General features: G+C 42.3%; 2 annotated features.

Moving 5' to 3' along the window:
- Window positions 821–1,021: a silencer, noted in NCBI's record as "peak3676 fragment used in MPRA reporter construct". NCBI's record gives its function as "represses an SCP1 promoter by STARR-seq MPRAs in K562 erythroleukemia cells {active_cell/tissue: K562}" and the evidence as "EXISTENCE:reporter gene assay evidence [ECO:0000049][PMID:32103011]".
- Window positions 18,898–18,947: an enhancer, noted in NCBI's record as "active region_15642". NCBI's record gives its function as "activates an Ori minimal core promoter by ATAC-STARR-seq in GM12878 lymphoblastoid cells {active_cell/tissue: GM12878}" and the evidence as "EXISTENCE:reporter gene assay evidence [ECO:0000049][PMID:35858748]".

Raw genomic sequence — 22,132 nt, 5'->3', positions numbered from 1 at the left:
CCCGCCTCAGCCTCCCAAAGTGCTGGGATTACAGGCGTGAGTCACTGTGCCAGGCCCCACCATTAGTTTTATAAATCAAGATATAACATGTGTTATGAACTTCTGTGGTACTGCCTTTTTAAGAGCTCATCATCCCTGAAAATCATTCAAACCCTTCAACATGGCAACAGCCCTCCTGGACATTTCTACAAAGGAAATAATTAAAAAGAAGAAAAGAAATCTTTGCATGCACTAGATGTTTATAGAAGAACCACTTATAATAGTTATGGCCAGCTCACGCCCATAATTCCAGCACTTTGGGAGGCCAAGGTGGGCAGATCATGAGGTCAGGAGATTAAGACCATCCTGGCCGACATGGTGAAACCCTGTCTCTACTAAAAATACAAAAATTAGCTGGGTGGGGTGGCGCCTGCCTGTAGTCCCAGCTACTCGGGAGGCTGAGACAGGAGAATCGCCTGAACCAGGGAGATGGAGGTTGCAGTGAGCCGAGATCATGCCATGCACTCCAGCCTGGTGACAGAGCGAGACTCCATCTCAAAAAATAAAAAATAAAAAAAGAACCACTTATAATAGTTAAAAACTGGAAATAACTTAATGCGTAGCAGCAGGGGAAATGATTAAACAAGTTATGGCATATCCATGGGAAACCACGAAGCCACAAAAAAAGATCATTAGGAAGACTATGTAAGGACAAGAAAGTGTTTATTAAGTGATGTTAAACAAAAAGTGGAACACAAAAATTACATGAACATTATAATTATGCTTACATAAAATATTTCTATATCTGACTGAAGACTGGAAGAAAATCTGGGAGAAAAGAAAGTGGTTGTGGTAAGTGGCAGAAATATGACTGATGTTTTTCTTTTTGAATACTTTTAGTGTTGTTGTAGACTTGTCTTAGTAATAAATAGCTCTTTTTTGGAAAAAAAAAAAAAAAAGGATAGCCAAGCCGTAACTTGTTGTGTTTGCTTTTTACTTAGGGCAGTAACTGAGAAAACATTTCAAACATAGAGGAAGTCACATCAGCAACTATGAAGTGTTGAGGTCAAAATATGACGTTTCAATAATGAGGACAGTCAGGTGGAGAGATCTGAAGATAACAGATACAGGAATACAGGAAATGGGTCAAAGAAGACAGTTTTGGGGGTAGGATTTGCATTGCTGAATACTTACGAAAAGAAACAAACTCACAGGCTTACAGGCTTAGATTTATTAGTCTATATTAGGGCTGAGGATACCTGTGAACCAAAAATAAATAAATAAATAAAAACAGAGAGAGAAAGTGTGTGTCAAAGAGATGCCTCATTAGCCTTTCTCTTTATCTCTATGGAATGTCAAAGAGATAATGTCATCTCTAAGACATTAATTGTCCACTTTTTTCAACTGATCCTCTCCCTGGAGGCAGCTGAGCAACTCACTTGGAGGAACGATTCAAATCATTCCTGATTTTTAAGAATTAATCCTTAACCAAGTTAATTAATCATAGTGTACCAGCACTTGGAATCACTCAAACAAAACAGCCTTTACATATAGGAGATGCATCCACCCCAAGCTTTTCTTCACCCATAATCTTGCCTCAAACTTGTGTGGGTAGCTCAGGGCAAAATCTGGTTTCTGGCTGCCAATGGCATGCATTAATGGAGAGAAGCAGGCTGACAGTGCAGCCTGGGAAGGTTTCTGTAGAAAAGCCTGTGTGCTAGAGTTAATTACAGCCTGATTTAAATCTTAGATTGTGGAGGGACCATGAAAAAGGCAGACTGATGAATACTATGTGGTCAGATAAACCCAGATACTTAGATCTCTCAAAAGGAAAAAGAAAAACCCTAGAATCATCTTCTGGGTACAGACAGTGCGGTAGGTCCAGTGAAAATTATAAGGTTTGGGTTAGATGGGGCTCCTGCCCACAACCCAAAACAGTGTATTCAGGGGACAAAAGAGAAATGCAGACAGAATCCAAGTCAATAAACACATGTCACAGAACAAAATATAAGTAGCTATGATATGCTAAAAAATAGCAATAAACTGGCCAGGCGCAGTGGCTCATGCCTGTAATCCCAGCACTTTGGGAGGCTGAGGCGGGCAGATCATCTGAGGTCGGGAGTTCGAGACCAGACTGACCAACATGGAGAAACCCCATCTCTACTAAAAATACAAAATTAGCTGGGTGCGGTGGCGCATGCCTGTAATCCCAGCTACTTGGGAGGCTGAGGCAGGAGAATTGCTTGAACCCGGGAGGCAGAGGTTGTGTTGAGCCGAGATCATGCCATTGCATTCCAGTCTGGGCAACAAGAGCGAAACTCTGCCTCAAAAAAAGAAAAAAAAAGAAAAAAGAAAAAAAAACCTGTATATATATACAGCAATAAACTTTGACTTAGGAAGCCTGGGTTTAAATCCCAGCCATGGCCGGGGGCAGTGGCTCACACCTGTAATCCCAGCACTTTGGGAGGCTGAGGTGGGCAGATTACCTGAGGTCAGGAGTTCGAGACCAGCCTGGCCAACATGGTGAAACCCCATCTCTACTAAAAATACAAAAAATTAGCCGGGTGTGGTGGCGTGTGCCTGTAGTCCAAGCTACTGGGGAGGCTGAGGCAGGAGAATCGCTTGAACCCAGGAGGCAAAGGTTGCAGTGAGCCAAGATCATGCCACTGCACTTCTGCCTGGGTGAGACTCTGTCTCAAAAAAAAAAAGCATTGTACGCTGGGCATGGTGGCTCACACCTGTAATCCCGGCACTTTGGGAGGCCAAGGCAGGCAGATCACCTGAGGTCAGGAGTTCAAGACCAGCCTGACCAACATGGTGAAACCCTGTCTCTACTAAAAATACAAAATTAGCTAGGTGTGGTGGTGTGTGTCTGTAATCCCAGCTACTCGGGAGGCTGAGGCAGGAGAATCGCTTGAACCCGGGAGGCAGAGGTTGCAACGAGCTGAGATCGTGACATTGTACTCCAGCCCAGGCAACAAGAACAAAACACCGTCTCAAAAATAAAAAAATTTAAAAAATAAAAATAAAAAGCATTATAAGGAAATATTTACTGGTGCCTACAATACTGATATTACTCTGATCTCTGATATCAAACCCAGACAAATATATAACAAGAAAGCAAAACTGCAGACTAATATCCTTCATGAGTATAAATGCAAAAATTTTTAGGAAAATATAGCAAATAGAATATAACAATATATAAAAGGATAGTACATTATAGCCATAGCCCAGGAATGCAAGGTTAGTTTAATATTTGAAAGTCACTCAGTGATTCACCACAGTAACAGGCCGAAAAGGAAAACCATATGAATATCTCAATAGATGCAGAAAAAGAATCTGACAAAATCCAAGATCTCTTTCTTTCTTTCTTTCTTTCTTTCTTTCTTTCTTTCTTTCTTTCTTTCTTTCTTTCTTTCTTTCTTTCTCTCTCTCTCTCTCTCTCTCTCTCTCTTTCTTTCTTTTGGTCTTTCTGTCTTTCTTTCCTTCTCTCTTTCCTTCTCTCTCTCTCTCTTTTTTTTTTTCTCATTCTGTTGCCCAGGCTGGAGTGCAGTGGTGTAGTCTTGGCTCACTGCAACCTCTGCCTCCCAGGTTCAAGCAATTCTCCTGTATCGGCCTCCCAAATAACTGGGACTACAGGCATGCACCACTACTCCCAGCTAATTTTTGTATTTTTAGTACAGACAGGGTTTTACCATGTTGTCCAGGCTGGTCTCGAACTCCTGACTTCAGGTAATCTTCCCACCCTGGCCTCCCAAAGTGCTGGGATTACAGGTGTGAGTCACTGTGACTGGCCTCATTTCTGATTTTAAATAAAGCAACTCTCAGTAAAGTAGGAAACTTCTTTAATTTGAGAAAGGGCATCTATGAAAAACCTAAAGCTAACATCATACTTAATGGGAAAGACTGAATGCTTTTCCTTTAAGACCATGAACAAAGAAAGGCTATCCACTGTCACTATATTTATTCAGCATTGTACTGGTTGTAGCCAGTGCAATAAGTCAAGAAAAAAATATAAAATGAATTAAGATTGGAGCAGAAGAAGCAAAACTGTTTTTATTCTCAGATAACATGACTCTCTATGTAGAAAATTTGATGGACTCTACAAAAAAGCTACAGAACTAATAAATGAGTTTAACAAGCCTGCAGGATAAAAGATCAATATAAAAAATCAACTGTTTCTAAATGGTTTCAATAAATACTTGGAAATTAAAATTATATAAATAATAACACTTATGATAGTACAAAATAATTAAATATTTAGATAAAAACCTTACAAAAGAGCTGTAAGATCTGTAAACTAAGAAAACGTTGCTGAGAAAAATGAAAAAAGACTTTGTGCTCATGGATTGAAAGACTCAATATTGTTAAGATGTCAGTTTTCCCCTAATAGATCTGTAGATTCAATGCAATCCTCATCAAAATTCCAGTAGGCTTTCCCCTCTCAGAAACTGGCAAACTTATTCTAAAATTCAAGCTTAATCTAGAATTCATATTTTTCTTAGAAAAAGAATAAAGTTAGATTTCAAGACTTGCAATAAAGCTACAGTAATCAAGACAATTTTTATTTGTCTTGACAAATACCCAGACAAATTATATTTGTCTTAATACAAATACCCAATTTGATATTTGTATTGAGATAGAAAAATAGATCAATGTAACAGAATAGAGAATCCAGAATAGACCCACAAATATATGGTCAATTGTCAATTGACTTTCAACAAAAGTGCAAAGACACTTCAGTAGATAAAGATCAGTCTTTTCAATAAATGGTGCTAGAACTATTGGATATTCATAGATTATAGACAAAAAACTAAACATCATTCTAAACTTTGCATTATATACAAAAATTAACTCAAAATAGACTTAAATATAAAATCTAAACGTATAAAAATTTTGGAAGCAAACAGGAGAAAATCTCTGTGACCTTGGGTTAGGTAAAGATTTCTCAGATCACCAAACGCACCATCCATGCAAGAAAATTAATACGCTGGGCATGGTGGCTCACGCCTGTAATCCCAGCACTTTGGGAGGCTGAGGCGGGTGGATCACCTGAGGTCAGGAGTTTGAGAGCAGCCTGGCCAACATGGTGAAACCCCATCTCTACTAAAAATACAAAAATTAGCCAGGCGTGGTGGTGTGCGCCTGTAGTCCCAGCTACTCGGGAGGCTGAGGCAGGAGAATGGCGTGAACCCGGGAGGCGGAGCTTGGAGTGAGCCGAGATCGCGCCACTGCACTCCAGCCTGGGCGACAGAGCGAGACTCCGTCTCAAAAAAAAAAAAAAAAAAAAAAAGAAAAAAGAAAACTAATAAATTGCATTGCATCAAATTAAGAATTTCTGTTCTTGAAAGGCATTGTTAAGGAAATAAAAAGATTAGGAGAAAGGATTTGCCAATCATATATCTTACCAAGGAGTTGTTTGCAGTATATATAGACTCTTAAAACTCAACAGTTAAGAAAAAGCAAAACAAAACCCTGGTTAAAATATAAGCAGAAGGCATGAAAGATTCGTCACCAGAGAAGATACAAGGATGGCAAATATGCCCATGAAAGATTTTTTCAACCTCAGTAGTTATTAGGGAAATTTAAATTAGTACTGTAATGGAATACCATTACACAGCTATTAGAACGGTTAAAATAAAAAAAAAAACTGAGAATATCAACTGCTAGGAAGTATGTGGAGTAACTAGAACTCTTACACATTTCTGGTAGGTAAGCAAAATGGTACAACCACTTTGGAAACATTTTGGTAGTTTCTTTTCAAGTTAAACATACACTTACCATACCCACTTCTAGGTATTTACCTTGAAAAATGGAAACATACATGCTTATATCTGTACATGACTGTTTATAGCAGTTTATACTGCTTATTTTCAATTGCCCCAAATGAGAAACAACCCAAGTATCCTTTAGTTGTGAATGGTTAGACAACATGTGGTACATCCACACAATGGGATACTACTTACCGATAAAAAGAATAAACTATTAACACATGCAAACACGGATGACTCTCAGAACAATTACACCGAGTGAAAGAAACCAGCTCCCCCTGCCCTCTCCCTGCAAAACATGCACACCATATGGTTTCACTTATTTAAGCTTCTAGAAAATACAAATTAATCCATAGTGATAGAAAGCAGATCAGTGGTTGCAGAAAGAAGGGTGGGACAACAAAGGGGCACGAAAATTTGGGGGGTGAATAGCTTGATTGTGGTGATGGTTTCACAAGAATATAACATGTCAAAACTCATCCAATTGTATACTGAAATATGTTTGTCTTATTATTTGTCAGTTATACCTCAAGAAAGCTCTTTTTTTTTCAAAGTCCAGGTGATTCTAATAGGCAGCTGAATTTGAGGACCACTGAAACACACATACGTAACTCTCCTAAGTCCATCAGGTTTTGGCTTACTGCCACAGAGTTTTCTATTGTTCGGATTCCAGTCTTGTTACAAATATGAAACTTACAGGATAACTACAGAATGACCATACATAAAAATCATCAGATAATTTCACTTCAGAAATTCCAGGGCCTTCACTTTAAGCCATAGGGAAGCCCTAGATAAAAATTACTAATTTGAAATGAAATACAGCAAGAGACTCAAGCCTCTAAGCTTCCAGGGCTATAAATCATCTACAGTGCAGAGATGATTTTGGATCTGATAATTTGGTAAATTGCTTCTCTCATCCCTCATAGACTCAGCTTCTACACTTCCCTTATTTTGTCAGAGTTTTTTACTAGAACTCACTCCATTTTTTGCTTCTCTTTACTTTGACCTAACCTGTAGGGCTTCCAAAAATAGGTACTTGAGTGTATTGAAGAAGTTACTAACTTTGTTAAGTTATGCAAGACTTCCCTAAATAAGTATTATTTCCTCTTTCCTCTCAGTGACTCACACAGTACACTCTATAAAGGATTTGAAAGTGGCTGAAGGAAACTAGTTTGTCCCTTGTGCCCAGTTTTGCTCAGAAGCAGGAGAAAGACCTAGGGTGGCATATTTTAACCTTGAATATGTGTGTGACTCACCCAAGAATCCTGTAAAAATGCAGATTTGGTGTCAGCAAGAGTGGAGTAGACTCAAGCTTCTGCTTGAGTTTCTCCCCAGTGATGCTGATGCTGCTAGTTGGGTCACAAGACACATGACCTTTCAAAGTCCTTTCATCCCTGGGACACTGCAAAACAATAATGACCCTAATGGGGAGGAAGTCATTCAAGTCAAAGAGAGGAGCACTGCGTTACTACTGCCTTGATTACACTCTCCAAGTGTTGAACCTCCTGCCTTATGTAAATGTTTATACATCTGGTAAGGGTAAAGATTCACTTGCTGTGAATAGCTCAGGATGTTTAAAAAGTGTTGGTTGGATTTTTCTTACCTTTTTCTGGAAATAATTTGCAATAGATAAGATGGTTTTTCTAGGTTATATTTAGTTAACCCAACTTAAGCCACTTTATAACTGCTGCATCTAGCCACTTCTTGTGTGTATGCTTACTTTATTTTCAAAAATATGTAATGTCAAGGTATGAAATACCAATGTTTCATATACTATTTAGCTGAGGTTTTCAGTTCTTATGACAAATGGGCTGATTTCTCTCCTAGATCCTGAGGGGATTATATTGTATGTCCTGATTTTTCCTCTTTTTGAGGCAAAGATAGCACTAGTCATAGCAGCAGTTGCTTCTAATGATTTAGAGTTATAGTAAAATCTGTTGGAACGAATTGAAGGACAGTATTGTGGCATGGTTATGAATCTTCCTGGGGAAGCTGGCTGCAGCCTTTGGGTGGGTCTTTCTCACCCACTACTTCCCCCCCGCTCTGCTTTGTAAATCAAACTGCATGGTTTTTTTCCAAAGCAAATTCCTGATTTTTGGAAAGGAATCAAATAGTTTAGTTTTGCCTAAAACTGACACATTTAAACACATTTCAAATATATGTGAATTTGTAATTTAAACAAAACAAACTCGATGTGCTTTAAAGAGGCCAATCTATATTTTCAGAAAACTCTTATTATCGGTAATTTTCCATCTCAGTTTACCTTGATATTTAAATCAGTTCATCATGATTTTCAGTGAAAATAACTGAGAAAAAGGCATCCATAAAGGCTAAGAGTAAATCCATATTCATAGCTCTGTATTCCTCATCCAAGATTCCTTATTAAGTGATTACAGGAGCAGTTTTCTGTCTTTCAAGTCCATTTCTGCAGAAGAATTTGAATCACCACTGGAATGAATGTGGTAACGGGAGTAGTTCTGTCAACAATATGTGACACAAGGAAGGGAGTGCAGAAACTGGGCTGTCTGGACTACGGTTTTGGATGAGGTTTGGGATTTTTGTTGTTGCCAGAAAACTCAAAAGTTCAAAGAGAGTAGAAAAGCATATTGATTAGCTCTGGACTGGTCAAAGACTAGATTTATATCTGAGCTTAACTAATGTTTTACACATGGTCTCCTTTGTATTTTAAAATTTTTGTACCCCTGGTTAGTTAAAGGCAAGGACCAGCTGAAAGCAATTCCTCTTCTTGTCTTCTCTCCTCCAAATCAAGGCCATTTAGTTGGTAGGTAGATATTAAATCTCTAGGAACAAAGAGGAATGTTACTGGCCCAAATGTCCCATGATCCCTGAAGTTCATGTTGGTGCCAGAAGAGCTTCATGGCTTATTTTTCTCCCTAAATCTTCTACTCCAGAGGCCACATTTGCAGGGATATCTGGAGAACTGAGATGAACACTTGCCTCTCTGCCAATTCATCTTTCTTTTGGCCAGTTTATCAAGGATATTTGGATCTGCTGATGCACATTTCAGCCCCATCAGTTAATTTTCATTACAAAATTATGTTGCTAACATTATCAAGAGCATTGTGCCAAGCACTTTACACATATTACCTTATTTATTCCTCGTGATACCCATATTACAGGTGAGGAAACTGAGGCTCAGGCAGGTCACGTAACTTGCCCAAGTCCTCAAGGCCAGGATCCAAAATACAGACAGTTTAACCTCGAGCATGTGCTCTTAACCACTATAGTATTCTGCTTCCCTTATCCATAGATTCTTTCAGGACTTGGGAACTAAAGGAGTTTGGGAAAGAGACAAGGACATGGACTTTCTAATAAACTTCCTTTAAAGCTTCATTAGTTATACATCCATTCAACAATAATCCACTCCTCTTCAACTCTTCTAGAAGCTTACTTTCAATTTAAAGTCACAGTATCACTTTACAGCAGACCCCTCTGCCTGGTAAGCGGCTCCCCCACTAATTCACACGGTAAGTCCCTATAGACATGTTTATCTTCTAAAATCTATCCCACTGGTCATAACTCAATGAGTCCCAAGCTGGGTGAACAAGATTCTTTCTATTAGAAATCTCAAATTGGGAAAGAGAGGTGCAGAGGTCGTTTCTGATATGGCTAGAAATGTAAGATGTAAACTCAGTGTAACACGCAAACTCAGTAACTATAGAGAAGGTGGAGTGCGATGGCTCACACCTGTAATCCCAGCACTTTTTGAGGCTGAAACGGGAGGACTGCTTGAGCCTAGGAGTTTGAGACCAGCCTGGACAACATAGTGAGACCCCATCTCTGAAAAAAAAATTTTTTTTAATTAGCTGAGCACTGTGGCTTGCACCTGTGGTCCCAGCTATTCAGGAGGCTGAGGTGGGAGGGTCACTTGAGCCCAGGAGATTGAGGCTGCAGTAATTAAGCCACTGCACTCCAGCCTGGGTGACAGAGGGAGACCGTGTCTCCAAAAGCAAACAAACAAACATAAAAAAACCAAAAAACAAAAAAAAAAAAAAAAAGAGAGAGGAGGGAGGTAGGGGGTAGAGAGGAAAGAAAAGAGGAGAAAGATAGTGTATGTAGTAGACACACAGAGAAGCTGAGATCAGATGGGGAACTTTTTGTTGATTTCCAGTACCTAGATGCAGTTCTTTGTGACACATCCCTATTTCCCTAAAAATGGTCTTTTTGCTTTAGCTGGTCCAAGTTGATTTCTGTGCCTTACAATCAAACTTTTGATTGATGCTCATTGGAACTCCTACAAGACCCAGGAACTCTGACACTTCTGTATCATCCCAGGATCCAACAGAAGACTGTGCATTCAATCAGTGCTTTTGCTCTCCATTCTCCGCTCCAGTGTAGTGCAACCCACCCCCTAATCTTGAGCCTGTATCCAATCATCTGATTGTGTTGCCTGAATCCAGGCTCTTTTCTCTCCTGTTCACCTTATATTCTACCGTGAGATCAATCTTCCAAAACTTTGCTTTCCCCATGTGTCACTTTCCAACTCAAAAGTCAGTGGCTCACTAGCCCCTAATTGTGTCTCATGGAACACTGGAAATGTTCCATGATAAAAAGAGTTCTGTGGCCAAAAATACTTGGAATATCAAATCTTCCCCTCTCAACACTGCCACATATATAAGCATATTAAAAGCTTTGGGAAGTCCTGCTTATAAATCATCCCCCCCACCACCAAAAAACAAAAACAAAAACCCAGCTTAAATTTGCTTGATTCAATGTGTTCTTTCTTGGTGTAACATCTATGGCAAAGGGGAATACCTATAGAATTAAGGCCAAACATCTTTTTGGCCCTCTGCACACGTGCCCAATATATGAGTTATCTGATCTAATTTACTATTTCTCCCTCTGCTGCAGCCAGATGAGCCTCTTTCTTGCTTCCTGTGCTTTCTCACCTCTGTGCCTCAGCTGTAGTGTCCCCTCCTCTTGAAATGTTCCTTGCCCACCTTGCCTCCAAGCTCTACCAGGTCCTCTCTGGAGTTTTCTCAACCACCCAATTCCACATTGCACTTATACTTTTCTCACTTCCTAAGGCACGTGTAATCTGAAAAACATAGCATTTAGTCATAGTTGTTTCATCATAAATACAGTCCTATGTTTCTACCTGATTCTTTTAAAATTATGTTTGTCACCCCAGGAAGATGGCAATCTTTTCTTTTTTCTTTTTGAGACAGGGTTTCACTCTGTCACCCAGGCTGGCATGGAGTGGTGTGATCACAGCTCACTGCAGCCTTGACTTCTTTGGCTCAAGTGATCCTCCTTCCTTGGCCTCCCAAAGTGCTAGGATTACAAGTATGAGCCACAACACCCCGCCAGCAATCTTCTTCTTCTTCTTTTTTTTTTTTTTTTTGAGATAGAGTCTTGCTCTGTCGCCCAGGCTGGAATGCAGTGGCGCAATTTCAGCTCACCACCACCTCCGTGTCTCGGGTTCAAGCGATTTTCATGCCTGAGTCTCCTGAGTAGCTGGGGCTACAGGCATGCACCACCATGCCCAGCTAATTTTTATATTTTTAGTAGAGACGGGGTTTTGCCATGTTGGTCGGGCTAGCCTCTAACTCCTGACCTCAGGGGATCTGCCTGCCTCGGCCTCCCAAAGTTCTGGGATTACAGGCATGAGCCACTGCGCCCAGCCCGGTCAGCAATCTTCTTAAAGGTAGAAACCATACTTTTCTTCTATAATACCATTTTCAGGAGTGGCGCAAAATATGTTTTTAAGAATTATGCAATTGAATTGAATTGAGCTACTTCCCGGATTTAGAATGACAAATGCTTTCTCTCCATCTGCTTAAGAATGAACTGGCCTTCCCATTTAGAGGCAAGCATGCCCAACGCCCAATGCTAGGCTTTCCCTGGAGAACACAGGACAGCTGAACGCTTGGGGAAGAATTACTTCTGCTATGGCACGGTTCTCTTGAGCAGAGAACTTTAAAGGGATCATTATCTGCTTGTAAGGAATGGAGGTCAGCATGCCTGAAAACAGGAGTTGTGCAGATAACCTTGCCATATTTAGAATTCTATGCCTGGAAACAGCGTAAGTGCTCTTCCATATAAAATTGGGTAAGCCTATTATAGCATATCTATTGCACAAAATCATATATAGCTTTAACAAATCATATTGCAGAAGAATATTTAATGATTTGGGAAAAGATTTATGATGTAATGTATGAGAAAGAATTTCTTTCTTTTCTTTCTTTTTTATTTTTTGAGACAGAGTCTCTCTCTGTTGCCCAGGCTGGAGTGGAGTGCAGTGGTGCGATCTTGGCTCACTGCAACCTCCACCTCTCAAGTTCAAGCAATTCTCCTGCCTCAGCCTCCAGAATAGCTGAGATTTACAGGTGTGTGCCATCATGCCCAGCTAATTTTTGTATTTTTGGTAGAGATGGGGTTTCACCATGTTGGCCAGGCTGGTCTTGAACTCCTGACCTCAGGTGATCCACCTGCCTTGGCCTCCTAAAGTGCTGGGATTACAGGCATGAGCCACCACGCCCAGCTGAGAAAGAATTTCTAAAATAGCATATACACTATGTTTCTAACTTGATTTTAAAAAGAATATGCATTGAAAACCACACTGGAAAGGTAAACTAACATGTTAATCTTGATTAAATCTAGGTGGTGGGGTCATAAGTGTTTTTTTTTTTTAACACCTTCTTGTATTTTTCAGTATCTTCCTGGTTTTCTACATTGAACATATATGACTTTTGTAATCAGAAAAAAGTCAATCAAAATACAATTCCATGTTTTCTCTCTTCTCCTAGCTCCTATCTTCATACTGAATGATTGTACCCAGATTCAGAGGTCCGGAGAACTCTCTCTATTTTCACTTGGTTCCTTACCCTCTAGTTGACTATGGTCAGCTTGCTTTTTTTGATTAGTCATTGGGCTAATATGGGAGTGTCCCCAGAATTCAGTAATAACCTAGACATTGCCCAGGGCAGGCATCTGAGATGATTATAAAGAGCAGATCGAAATAACCTCTGCCTCTTAGTTTCCTTAGACATGTTTCGATTCCTCTCACTTTCTTCTCCCCATCTCACTCCCTTCTCCCCTAGGGAGAAGATGCTGGTGGATGTGGATATTAAAACCTCCCCCTGGGGGCTAAAAAGAGACATCAGGAGAGGCTCAGGATCAAACAATATCTCCATATGAGTAGGTACAGCTTACCTGACTACTGCCTAAGAAATAGTCCAGGTCAGCTGGTCTGCTGCTGTGCTGCTGGGGATAATACCTAAGAAGAGCCAAGGCTTGGAAGGAGCCAGAGACAGACCAGGGACCTGTGTGTTGGGAATGGAGCAAAGAAAAGGTCCAGGAGGAAGAGAGAGGGGGAAAGCATCAAGGGCTGGAGAGAGAGTGTGTGTGTGTGTGTGTGTGTGTGTGCGCGCATATGTGTGTGTGTTTGTATATATGCGTGCATGTATGTGAAGTGTGTGTATGTATGTACGTGTGTGGCAGATGCAGGTGCAGAGGGGAGCTGGGGAACATGGGCTAAGTTTTGGGAGAGTGAAGAGGAACAAAATAAGACAACTGTGAGTGGAAGAAAGAGATGTTAGACTGTGTATGAAGAATACTCTTACCCCTTTGACTTTTTTCTCTTGAAACTGGGTAAATATATATATGTATATATATATATATATACACACACACATATATAGATATGTATATATATATACACATATATATACGTATATATATACACACACATATATACATACACACACACACACACACACACACACTTATATATACACACACACATATGAGAGACAGTGTCTCACTCTGTTGCCCAGGCTGGAGTGCAGTGGTGAGATTTCGGCTCACTGCAACCTCCGCCTCCCAGGTTCAAGCGATTCTCCTGCCTCAGCCTCCTGAGTAGCTGGGATTACAGGTGAGCGCCACCATGCCCAGCTAATTTGCGTAATTTTAGTAGAGACGGGGTTTCACCATATTTGCCAGGCTGGTCTCGAACTCCTGACCTTGTGATCCGTCCACTTCAGCCTCCCAAAGTGTTGGTATTACAGGTGTGAGCCACCACGCCCCTCGAGACTGGGTAAATATCTTAATGGATTTAAATTACATTTTTTTCTGCAGGACTGCTGTTTCTTTTACTGTGTTTTTTGCTTGCACTGAACCACATAGGGCTCTCTGTCATGCCTGGTTTGCACAAATACGAATGCCTTTCTCATGAACGAACTTATCCATTTTATGGAGAAAATGATACGGGCTTACCCCACTTCAAGGCTTATTGGCTGCTCTCTCAGCCCTAGGTGATCGCCAGTGATGCACGTATATTCCTTACATGAAATGAAAGGCACAGCTTTAAATGAAAAGGCACACCGTAAATGAAAAGCATAGCTGATTTGGTTTGAGTCCGTTTTGGCAAAAGGCAGTGCGATTTGGTTTGAGTCCTTCTTATGAGCTGGGGTCTAGTCAAGAGGGACCTGCTGGAACTTCTGCCAGGAGTCCTGTGGCAACTAAGAGATGCCTGGGGCTGGTTGGGTGTGTTGTGAGGTGAAGCCTCCAGACTGAAAAGGCTCTGGGATTCTATTTCCCTAGGACGAGTAAGGCCTCCTGGCCCAGACCCTGCTCTGGCCTCAAGCCCTCGGGGCAGCAACACAGCTAACACTGCAGGTCTGTAACCAAAATGTCTAGGGGGCTTTAGGAGCTCCTTTAACTCGGTTTGTGCTGAGTGCAGAGGCTCCTTGCACAGCATTGGCATCTTGGAAGAAAGATATGTTGGCAGTCAGCCTGGAGGCTGCAATCCCTGTGAGAAAGGAAGGCAGGCCGGTGTTACAGTGCTATGCTGGGAGCCAGGCAAGCAGCACTGTTAACTCATCTGCGTCCAGTGATCACAGGGCTCCGATGAAATGGGCCTGGGGGCTGCCCAAAATATCTGCTACTGCAGAATCTTCTACTGAGAAGGCATTTGGGGGAAATAGGAGAAGAGAGCAGTTTCTTTTTCAAAGAACTCACTGTTGGGGTCTTCTTCTTTAGACTTTGTTCTCTCCGGTGCCTCTCTGTTGAACTGTGTCATTGGCTCACTAAAGGCTGGTAGAGAAGCTAAAAAGCAACTGTCTGTGATGGGAACTGGGTAAGCCAGTGTCACTCACCCAGGCCTTTATCTACCTTATATGTGCTAAATAAAGTCGCTGTATTACCTACCATATGGGAAATCTCATCTCATCTCTCTCTCGCTCTCTCTCTCCCTCAGGTTAATTATACATACCTGATTCGGTTGTTCATTTCAACTCTGCCTAACTTTACTCCCTAACCATGCATTTATTATCGGTTCTAGTTGCTCTTTCTAGTTCTGTTTTCGCCTTTGCCCTTGTCCCAGCCACTTCCCATGACTGAAGAAATAACTCACTCTGACTGGATTCTTTTCACTCATTCAAAAAGTTTTTATTATCTGCCTATGATGCGCCAGACACTGTTCTGGTCATTTAGGATAGGTTTGTGAACAAAATAGATAAAGATCCCTGCAGGGAGGGGGAAGAAAGATAATCAGCAATACACATAACAAATATATAAATTACAAAGTATGTTAGACTTTTGTCCATGAGGACAAAAAAGAACAAGATTATACAGGTTAAGGGTGATCAGGAGTGTCAGGGAGTAGGGGGAAGGGTGGGTGGTCAGGGTGGGCCTCATTGAGAGGGTGAGATTTGAACATTGCAGGAATGAGAAAGTTCATCAAGTAGATATCTGGGGCAGGTGTATTCAGGTAGAGGTTACAGCTAGAGCAAGGACACAAAGGTAAGTGCATGCCTAATGTGTTTAAGGAACAACAAGGAGACTAAAATGAGTGAGGAAGAGTGTCAGAGAAGAAGATAGAGAGGTGCAGTAGGCAGATAATGTAGAACAATTTTGGCTTTGTAAACTCTTTTTTTAGCTTTTTTTTTTTTTAGACAGGGTCTTTCTCTATTGCCCAGGCTGGAGTGCAGTGGCATGATCATCCCTGGCTCAAGATATCTTCCCACCTCTGCCTCCTGAGAAGCTGGGACTACAGCCATGCACCACCATGCCCAGCTAATTTTTTGATTCTTTCATAGGGTCAGGGTGGTCTTGAACTCTTGGGCTAAAGTGATCCTCCCTCCTTGGCCTCCCAAATGGCTGAGATTACAGGCATGAGTCACTGTGCCCAACCTAGGACTTTAGTTTTGAGAGAAATGGGAGTTATTGAAGTGTTACCTTAAGAGAAATGGGGGGCAGCGATACTGAAGAATTTTGATTAGAGAAGGGATATGATCTAAACTACTTTTTTTTTTTTTTTTTGAGACAGGGTCTCATTCTGTAGCCCAGGCTGGAGTTCAGTGGCCCCATCTCAGCTTATTGCAACCACAGCTTCCTGGACTCAAGCAATCCTCCCACTTCAGCCTCCAGATCAGCTGGCTTTACAGGCACATGCCACCACACCTGGATCATTTTTGTATTTTTTATAGAGACAAGGTTTCGCCATGTTGCCCAGGCTGGTCTTGAATTCCTGGGCTCAAGGGATCCTCCCTCCTTGGTCTCTCAAAGTGCAGGCATCAGGGGTTACAGGCATCAGCCACTGTGCCTGGCCTCTCGGGTGCATTCAAAAGGGATCACTGTGGCTGCTGTGTTGAGAGCAAGAGTAGATTCAGGCGAGAATCTACTAGGTGAGAGATGATGGCGGCTTCAACTAGATGGAGGCAATAAAGGAGGCAAGAAGTGGTTGGATTCTGGATGTATTTTGAAGGTCGTATTAATAGTTGCCAGATGCCAGATCTGATGTGTGTGTGAAAGGACGACAGGTGACAGGGATGACTCTAAGTTTCTGGCCTAAGCAACTGGAAGAATAGAGTTGCCATCAGTTGTGATGGGAAGGCTGTGGGTAGGTCAAGTTTGGGGGAGCAGATCAAGAGTTCAGTTTTGGACATGTTGAATTTGGAGATGTGCAGCAGACAGTTGGATACGTGAGTCCAGGGTTGAGGGAAGAGATCTGGGGCTAGAGATATAAATGTAGGGGTCATGGGAATATTGATAGTATTGGAAATCATGTATTAATATTTGTATGAGACCATCGAAAGAGGTGGATAAGGAAAAGCAGAGAACTGAGGTCTGAGCCCTGGGCATTTCAACATTTAGGGGTCAGGGAAAAGAGGAGGAATGAAGAAAAAAGACGAAGAAGGTTTGAAGGAGTGAGGTACCAGGAAAAAACCAAGCGAGTAAGATGCCCTGGGGTGAACCTCAGTGAAGAGACTGTATCAAGGAAGAGGAAGTGGTCAGTTATATCAGATGCTATTAATCAATAAGATGAGAGCTGAGAATTGACCCTTGTATTTAGTAACATGAAAGTCATGATAACTTTGACAGGAACAATCTCTGTAGGCTAATGGGGACGTAAGCCTGATTTGAAGTTGATTTGAGAGAGAACTGGAGGAGAGGAATTGGACATAGCAAGTATAAATGATTCTTTTTTGCTCTAAAGAGGAGTAAATAGGGCAGACACTGCTGATGGAAGTAGTCATTAAAAGACTTTGTTGTTTTTTAAGATATGAGAAATAATAGCATGCTTGTGTACTGATGGAAAGGATCCAGTAGAGACAGAGACAGAGAGAGAGAGAATTTGGTGGAAGAGAGAAAGGGAAGCATTGCTGGAGTAATGTCCTTGAGTAGGTGAAAGGGGCAGGATTGTGTGCACAAGTCGAGGAATGTGCTTTGATGGGCAGGTAATAGGTGGAAAGTGTGAAGATGCAACTTCTGGTCAGGGGATAAATGTGGTAGTGGGAATCTGTAGAGTTCTTTCCTGGTTGCTTCTATTTTCCCAGTGGAGAAAGAATACAATTATCAGCTGAAAGTAAGGGTGGGAAGGAAATGCTAAGGGTTTGAGAAGAGAAAAGAAGGTATGAAACTGCTGTCTAGGAGGAAAAGTGAATGAATGCATCAGGGAAGATGACCTGATCAGCATTAAGGGCCCATGGAGTTTCATCATCATGAATTTAAAGTGAATCAAGCAGTGTGGCTGTGTGTTGTTCTCCAGCCATGTTCAGCAGCAGATGTGGAGGTATGAAGTAGGTGCAGAGTTGGATTTGACTAAGTCTGCCTCAGGCTAGGTGAATGTGACAAAGGAAAAGAGAAGCAAAGAGCTGAAGGTGTACAGAAGGGGCAATGATGATAACGGCTGAACCATGAAATTGACACGGTCAGTAGGGGAGTAGGAACATCACAGGGTAGGCAACAGTGTATGGCTCGGATGGGGTCAAAGGATGGCTGGGATGTGTGAGATGAACTGGAAAGATAGGAGGTTGCAGTCAGAGAGTGGAATGCATGAAACTGAGATTATGGAGAGGTTGCAGTTGTAAGTAATCACAATTATGGGTTGAGTAGAGGAAAGATCATTGGAGGAAAGAAGTTCAAGGCACTGAGAGGCTCAGGTGTTGAAAGGGTTATCTACGCGTACATTGTAATCACCAAGCATTAAGACAGTACATATTAGAGAAACAGTTAGCCAGGCCCTAAAATAATTGAAAAATGACCTCTGGGCATCAGGATAAGACAGTAGTGATTTATGTAATCTGAAGATATAAAATTCAATGTGGGGTGCAAGGGTTTGCAGAGGAGGAGGGAGATATTTCTGAAAGTGACCATGAGGAGTAAGAAGGACACCTATGTCACCTCTCAGTGAGAAGCCTGTGAGAGAACAAAATAGCCCCTGCTTGAGAAGGTGTTGGAAAAAGCAGTGAGCTCAGGGGACAATCAGGTGCCCCTTAGGGAAAGAAGTGAGGCAGATGTTGAGAGAATAGATTGAGGATAAAACAGATTTTGCTAATCATGGATCGTGGACTCCAGAGGGCATGGAGGATGAGTTTCAGGAGTTGGGGAGGGTGGAAGAAAGCCCCGGGATAGGGAAAATACGTAGCCTCCTGGGGATTCGTGGGCTGAGATTAGGTGAGCTGGGAACCAAGCAGCTCTTAGGACCGATGTCAATAGGGGCAAAGGCACGATGAGATGAGCTTCTTTGGATGCAAGGCAGATGATGGTGGCGAGGCGGTGAGTGTTGGGGTCGAGGAGAAGTTTCAGGGGCTCCTTCTTCCCACCAGATGGTGAAGGAGAAGGTTAGGAGAGTGTCTCTGAGTGATCCCAGCTGCAGGGGCCTCTCCTCCTCCTCTCCTATTCTCTCATCTTTCATCTTTTCCAAAGCTGCACCCAGCGGTTGTGACAATTCTGACTCTGCTACATTATTCACTGGCTTTAAAAGAGATTGAATAGATTTTTTGCTCTCTGATTACTGAATTTCCTGTTTCTCTGAAAGCCTGAAATGTACTTGATCACATCCACCCTCCTCCCCACCCCAGAGGGCACATCCGGGGCTCTGTTGACACATTTGTCACATGGGCGACTTTCAAAAACAGTCGGAGTTCAAATATCCACAGAGCTGAATGCCTCCCCACCCCCCAGAGAGGCATTTGGGGATGGTTGAGGCTGTCCCAAGGGCTATCAGATAGATCCTTTTAAGTAAGGCCTTTTCATTCATTCCCACATTTCCATATAAAACCTTCCCTCACTCTGCCTCCTCTCTGCCTGCCCATTAAACTGCTTTGGCGGGAGGAGCCTCCAAATTGGGGGAAGACAATTTTTGCTCACGTGGTCTGTGTTTCAGAGAACACAGCTGCTCACCATCTTGGTGAATGAGATCGTGCTTCCATCCTGGCTGCTCAAACCCAAGTTTATCACTGGTGCCTCCTCTTCACTCAGCTTCTCCTCTGGACGTAGCTTTGTCCTGATCAAAAGCCAGATCCATTCCTTTGGACTCGCTTATAGCCTAAGTCGGCAGCCATCTAATCACCTCCAGACTTTGCCTCTGACTATCACCCAAGGCACTGCCAAAGAAGAGTTGCAGGGAAGGGGGCCCAGGATGCTAAGAAAAGCTTGGTGTTTGCTGAATTAAGTGAGAGGATGAGCTCTTGGGAAACAGGTGATGTTTCTGTCACACACCCTAGTTTCATAACAGCTGTTTAAACACCAACTTCTCGTCTTGTGGTTTTATAGAACTGTAGAAATCTTTTCTGCTGTGCTCTGGCCATGGCCTGACGCTGTCTGGCGGAGCAATGCTTTCTCTCCGTAATTTACCTCAATTAATTTCCCTTAACCAGCTCTCAGAATAAGATCTCCATGCTGCGATGTGACTAGTTAGATTCAATAGTTACCTGTTTAGGGAATATTTGCATTTTGGTGTGAGAGGAGGGGTGGGCCAAGCAGTTGGTGAGAGAAAGAGACAGGATGGGATGGTGGAGCCTGTGGTAGACTGCAGAATACAGGTCAGTGTGGCCAGATTTTTAGTTTTGGGGAAACTGTTTACAAATCCAGATATTTCGGTATAATCTTCCAATTTAAAATTTTTGGTAATTAATTCGTTTTTAAAAAAACGCTAGGTGTACCAGATAAAATACATATTTGAGTCACCTTGGACCATGGACCAAGGTGAGGTAGCAGTGACATGCATAAATGGAAGCACACTTTTGGATTAAATGTGTTTGGTGTTAAGCACAATGGTTCTTTTATGGTTGATTTTTGGCAAAAATGCCAGTGGCGCTGCCCTGTGGTCCTGAAATCATACTGGAAAGGCTGGCCCAGGACTGACTCTGGCCTTGGTGACTTGCATCTAGTTCATTTGGAATCCGGTTCCTATGGATAGTTTCTTCCTCAGTATAGGTTGCCTGGGTCCCTCAGGAAAGCCATCGAATTCAATGTGAATGCAATCACTCAGGTCGACTAAAGGCAGGTGAGTGTAACAGGAAGGTCTTCCTCACTGTGAAGGATGGCTGAAGACTGCAATAGAGTCCTTTCCATCTCTGATCAGAGAGACTGGCAGAGTTTATTGTACAGCACAGGTTTAACACATGACCTCTGGAATCAGATCCGTGGGTTCAAACTTCTCCCCTATTAGCTGGGTGTCCTCGGGCAAGTTAATTAGTCTCTCTAAACTCAGATTTTTAATCTGTAAAACGGGGAGTTAATAGTTCCTTCTAAGTAGTATTCAGTGAGATGGCGCTTGCAAAGTGCTTCCGTAGCAGTTCCTAAAGTGTAAGCTTCTACATCAGAAATGGGGTGTGACTTCATGTTTAGAAGACTCACTCACTATGTTTTAAATTTTGCTGGGGCTCAGAAAATGATAAGTCAAAGTATAATGCCTTGGCGTGCTGAGTACTTTGAACTAAAGGAGATTGGAAGGCCTTAGAAGCAGTCTCAGAAGTAAAATCTCTCTCTGAACTTCTCTTGCCCTATTTCCCACCCCTTCTTCTCCCTGAATTCATAGAAACTAGAATTCCTCTTCCCTATGGCAGGTCATAATAACTAGAATCCCTTTCCCCCAAAGCAAGCCATAAAATCTAGAACTGTTACTCTAAGTTCCCCCTGCCTTTCTGTGTAGGCACTGGCCATGAAGAGATTCTCTGATCTACCTCTGACTGTGAGTTATAAGACCCGTGCTCCAGAAAGCCCCTGCCCCACACCCAGGAGGAAGGAATGCTGCTCAGAGAGGCCAAGAAGAATCTGAACAGACAGGCCTTGCTGGGTTTCTCCCCTCAGTCTGTTACCATTAGATCGCATCCTTTTGTCTATTTTTATGCTTAGGTTCAACGAAGAATGGACAGTGTGTATTTCTACCTAGGCATAAAAATAGACAGTTTTCCCTGGGTCACTGGGTTTTCATTTCTGAAGGCTCCTGTGTCCCATAAAACTTTGATTCGGTAAATTTGCTATGCTTTTCTCTTGTTAATCAGTCTTTTGCTATAGCAATGACCCTTATGAAGGGTGAGGAAAGGTATCTCACATCTTTTCTACCCCGCCCCCCCCCCACAATAGGGATTTATTGAACTGCACCACACCAAGTCCCAGACCCAGGAGACTGGGCTCAGAAAGTCCCACTGAGTTCCTAGGTACCAGCCTTCTGGTAGAGCAGCTTTCTTTTCTAGTGTGGCTCTATCTCTTCTTTGCATATGCCTTCAGCTTCTTCTTTCCCCTCTTTTAGGTCTACTCTGCCTCCAGCCTGTGTTTTAATCACATAAAAAATGCTATTAAAAATGTAGAATCAAGGGCTGGACAGAGTGGCTCAAACCTGTAATCCCAGCATGTTTGGAGGCTGAGGTGGGCAGATCGCTTGAGCCCAGGAGTTCGAGACCAGCCTGGGCAACATAGTGAAACCCCGTCTCAAAAAAAAAAACAAAAACAAAAACAAACAAACAAACAAACACAAAATTAGCCAGGCGGGCATGGTGGCACAGCGCCTGTAGTCCCAACTACTAGGGAGGCTGAGATGGGAGGATCGCTTGAACCTGGGAGGTCAAAGCTGCAGTGAGCCATGATCACGCCACTGCACTCCAGCCTGGGTGACAGAGCAAGACTGTTTC

This window comes from Homo sapiens, chromosome 2 (assembly GCF_000001405.40).
Source record: "Homo sapiens chromosome 2, GRCh38.p14 Primary Assembly".
NCBI lineage: Eukaryota > Metazoa > Chordata > Mammalia > Primates > Hominidae > Homo > Homo sapiens.
Note: the sequence above shows the minus strand (reverse complement) of the source record. Positions and strands in the feature narration are given on the sequence as shown.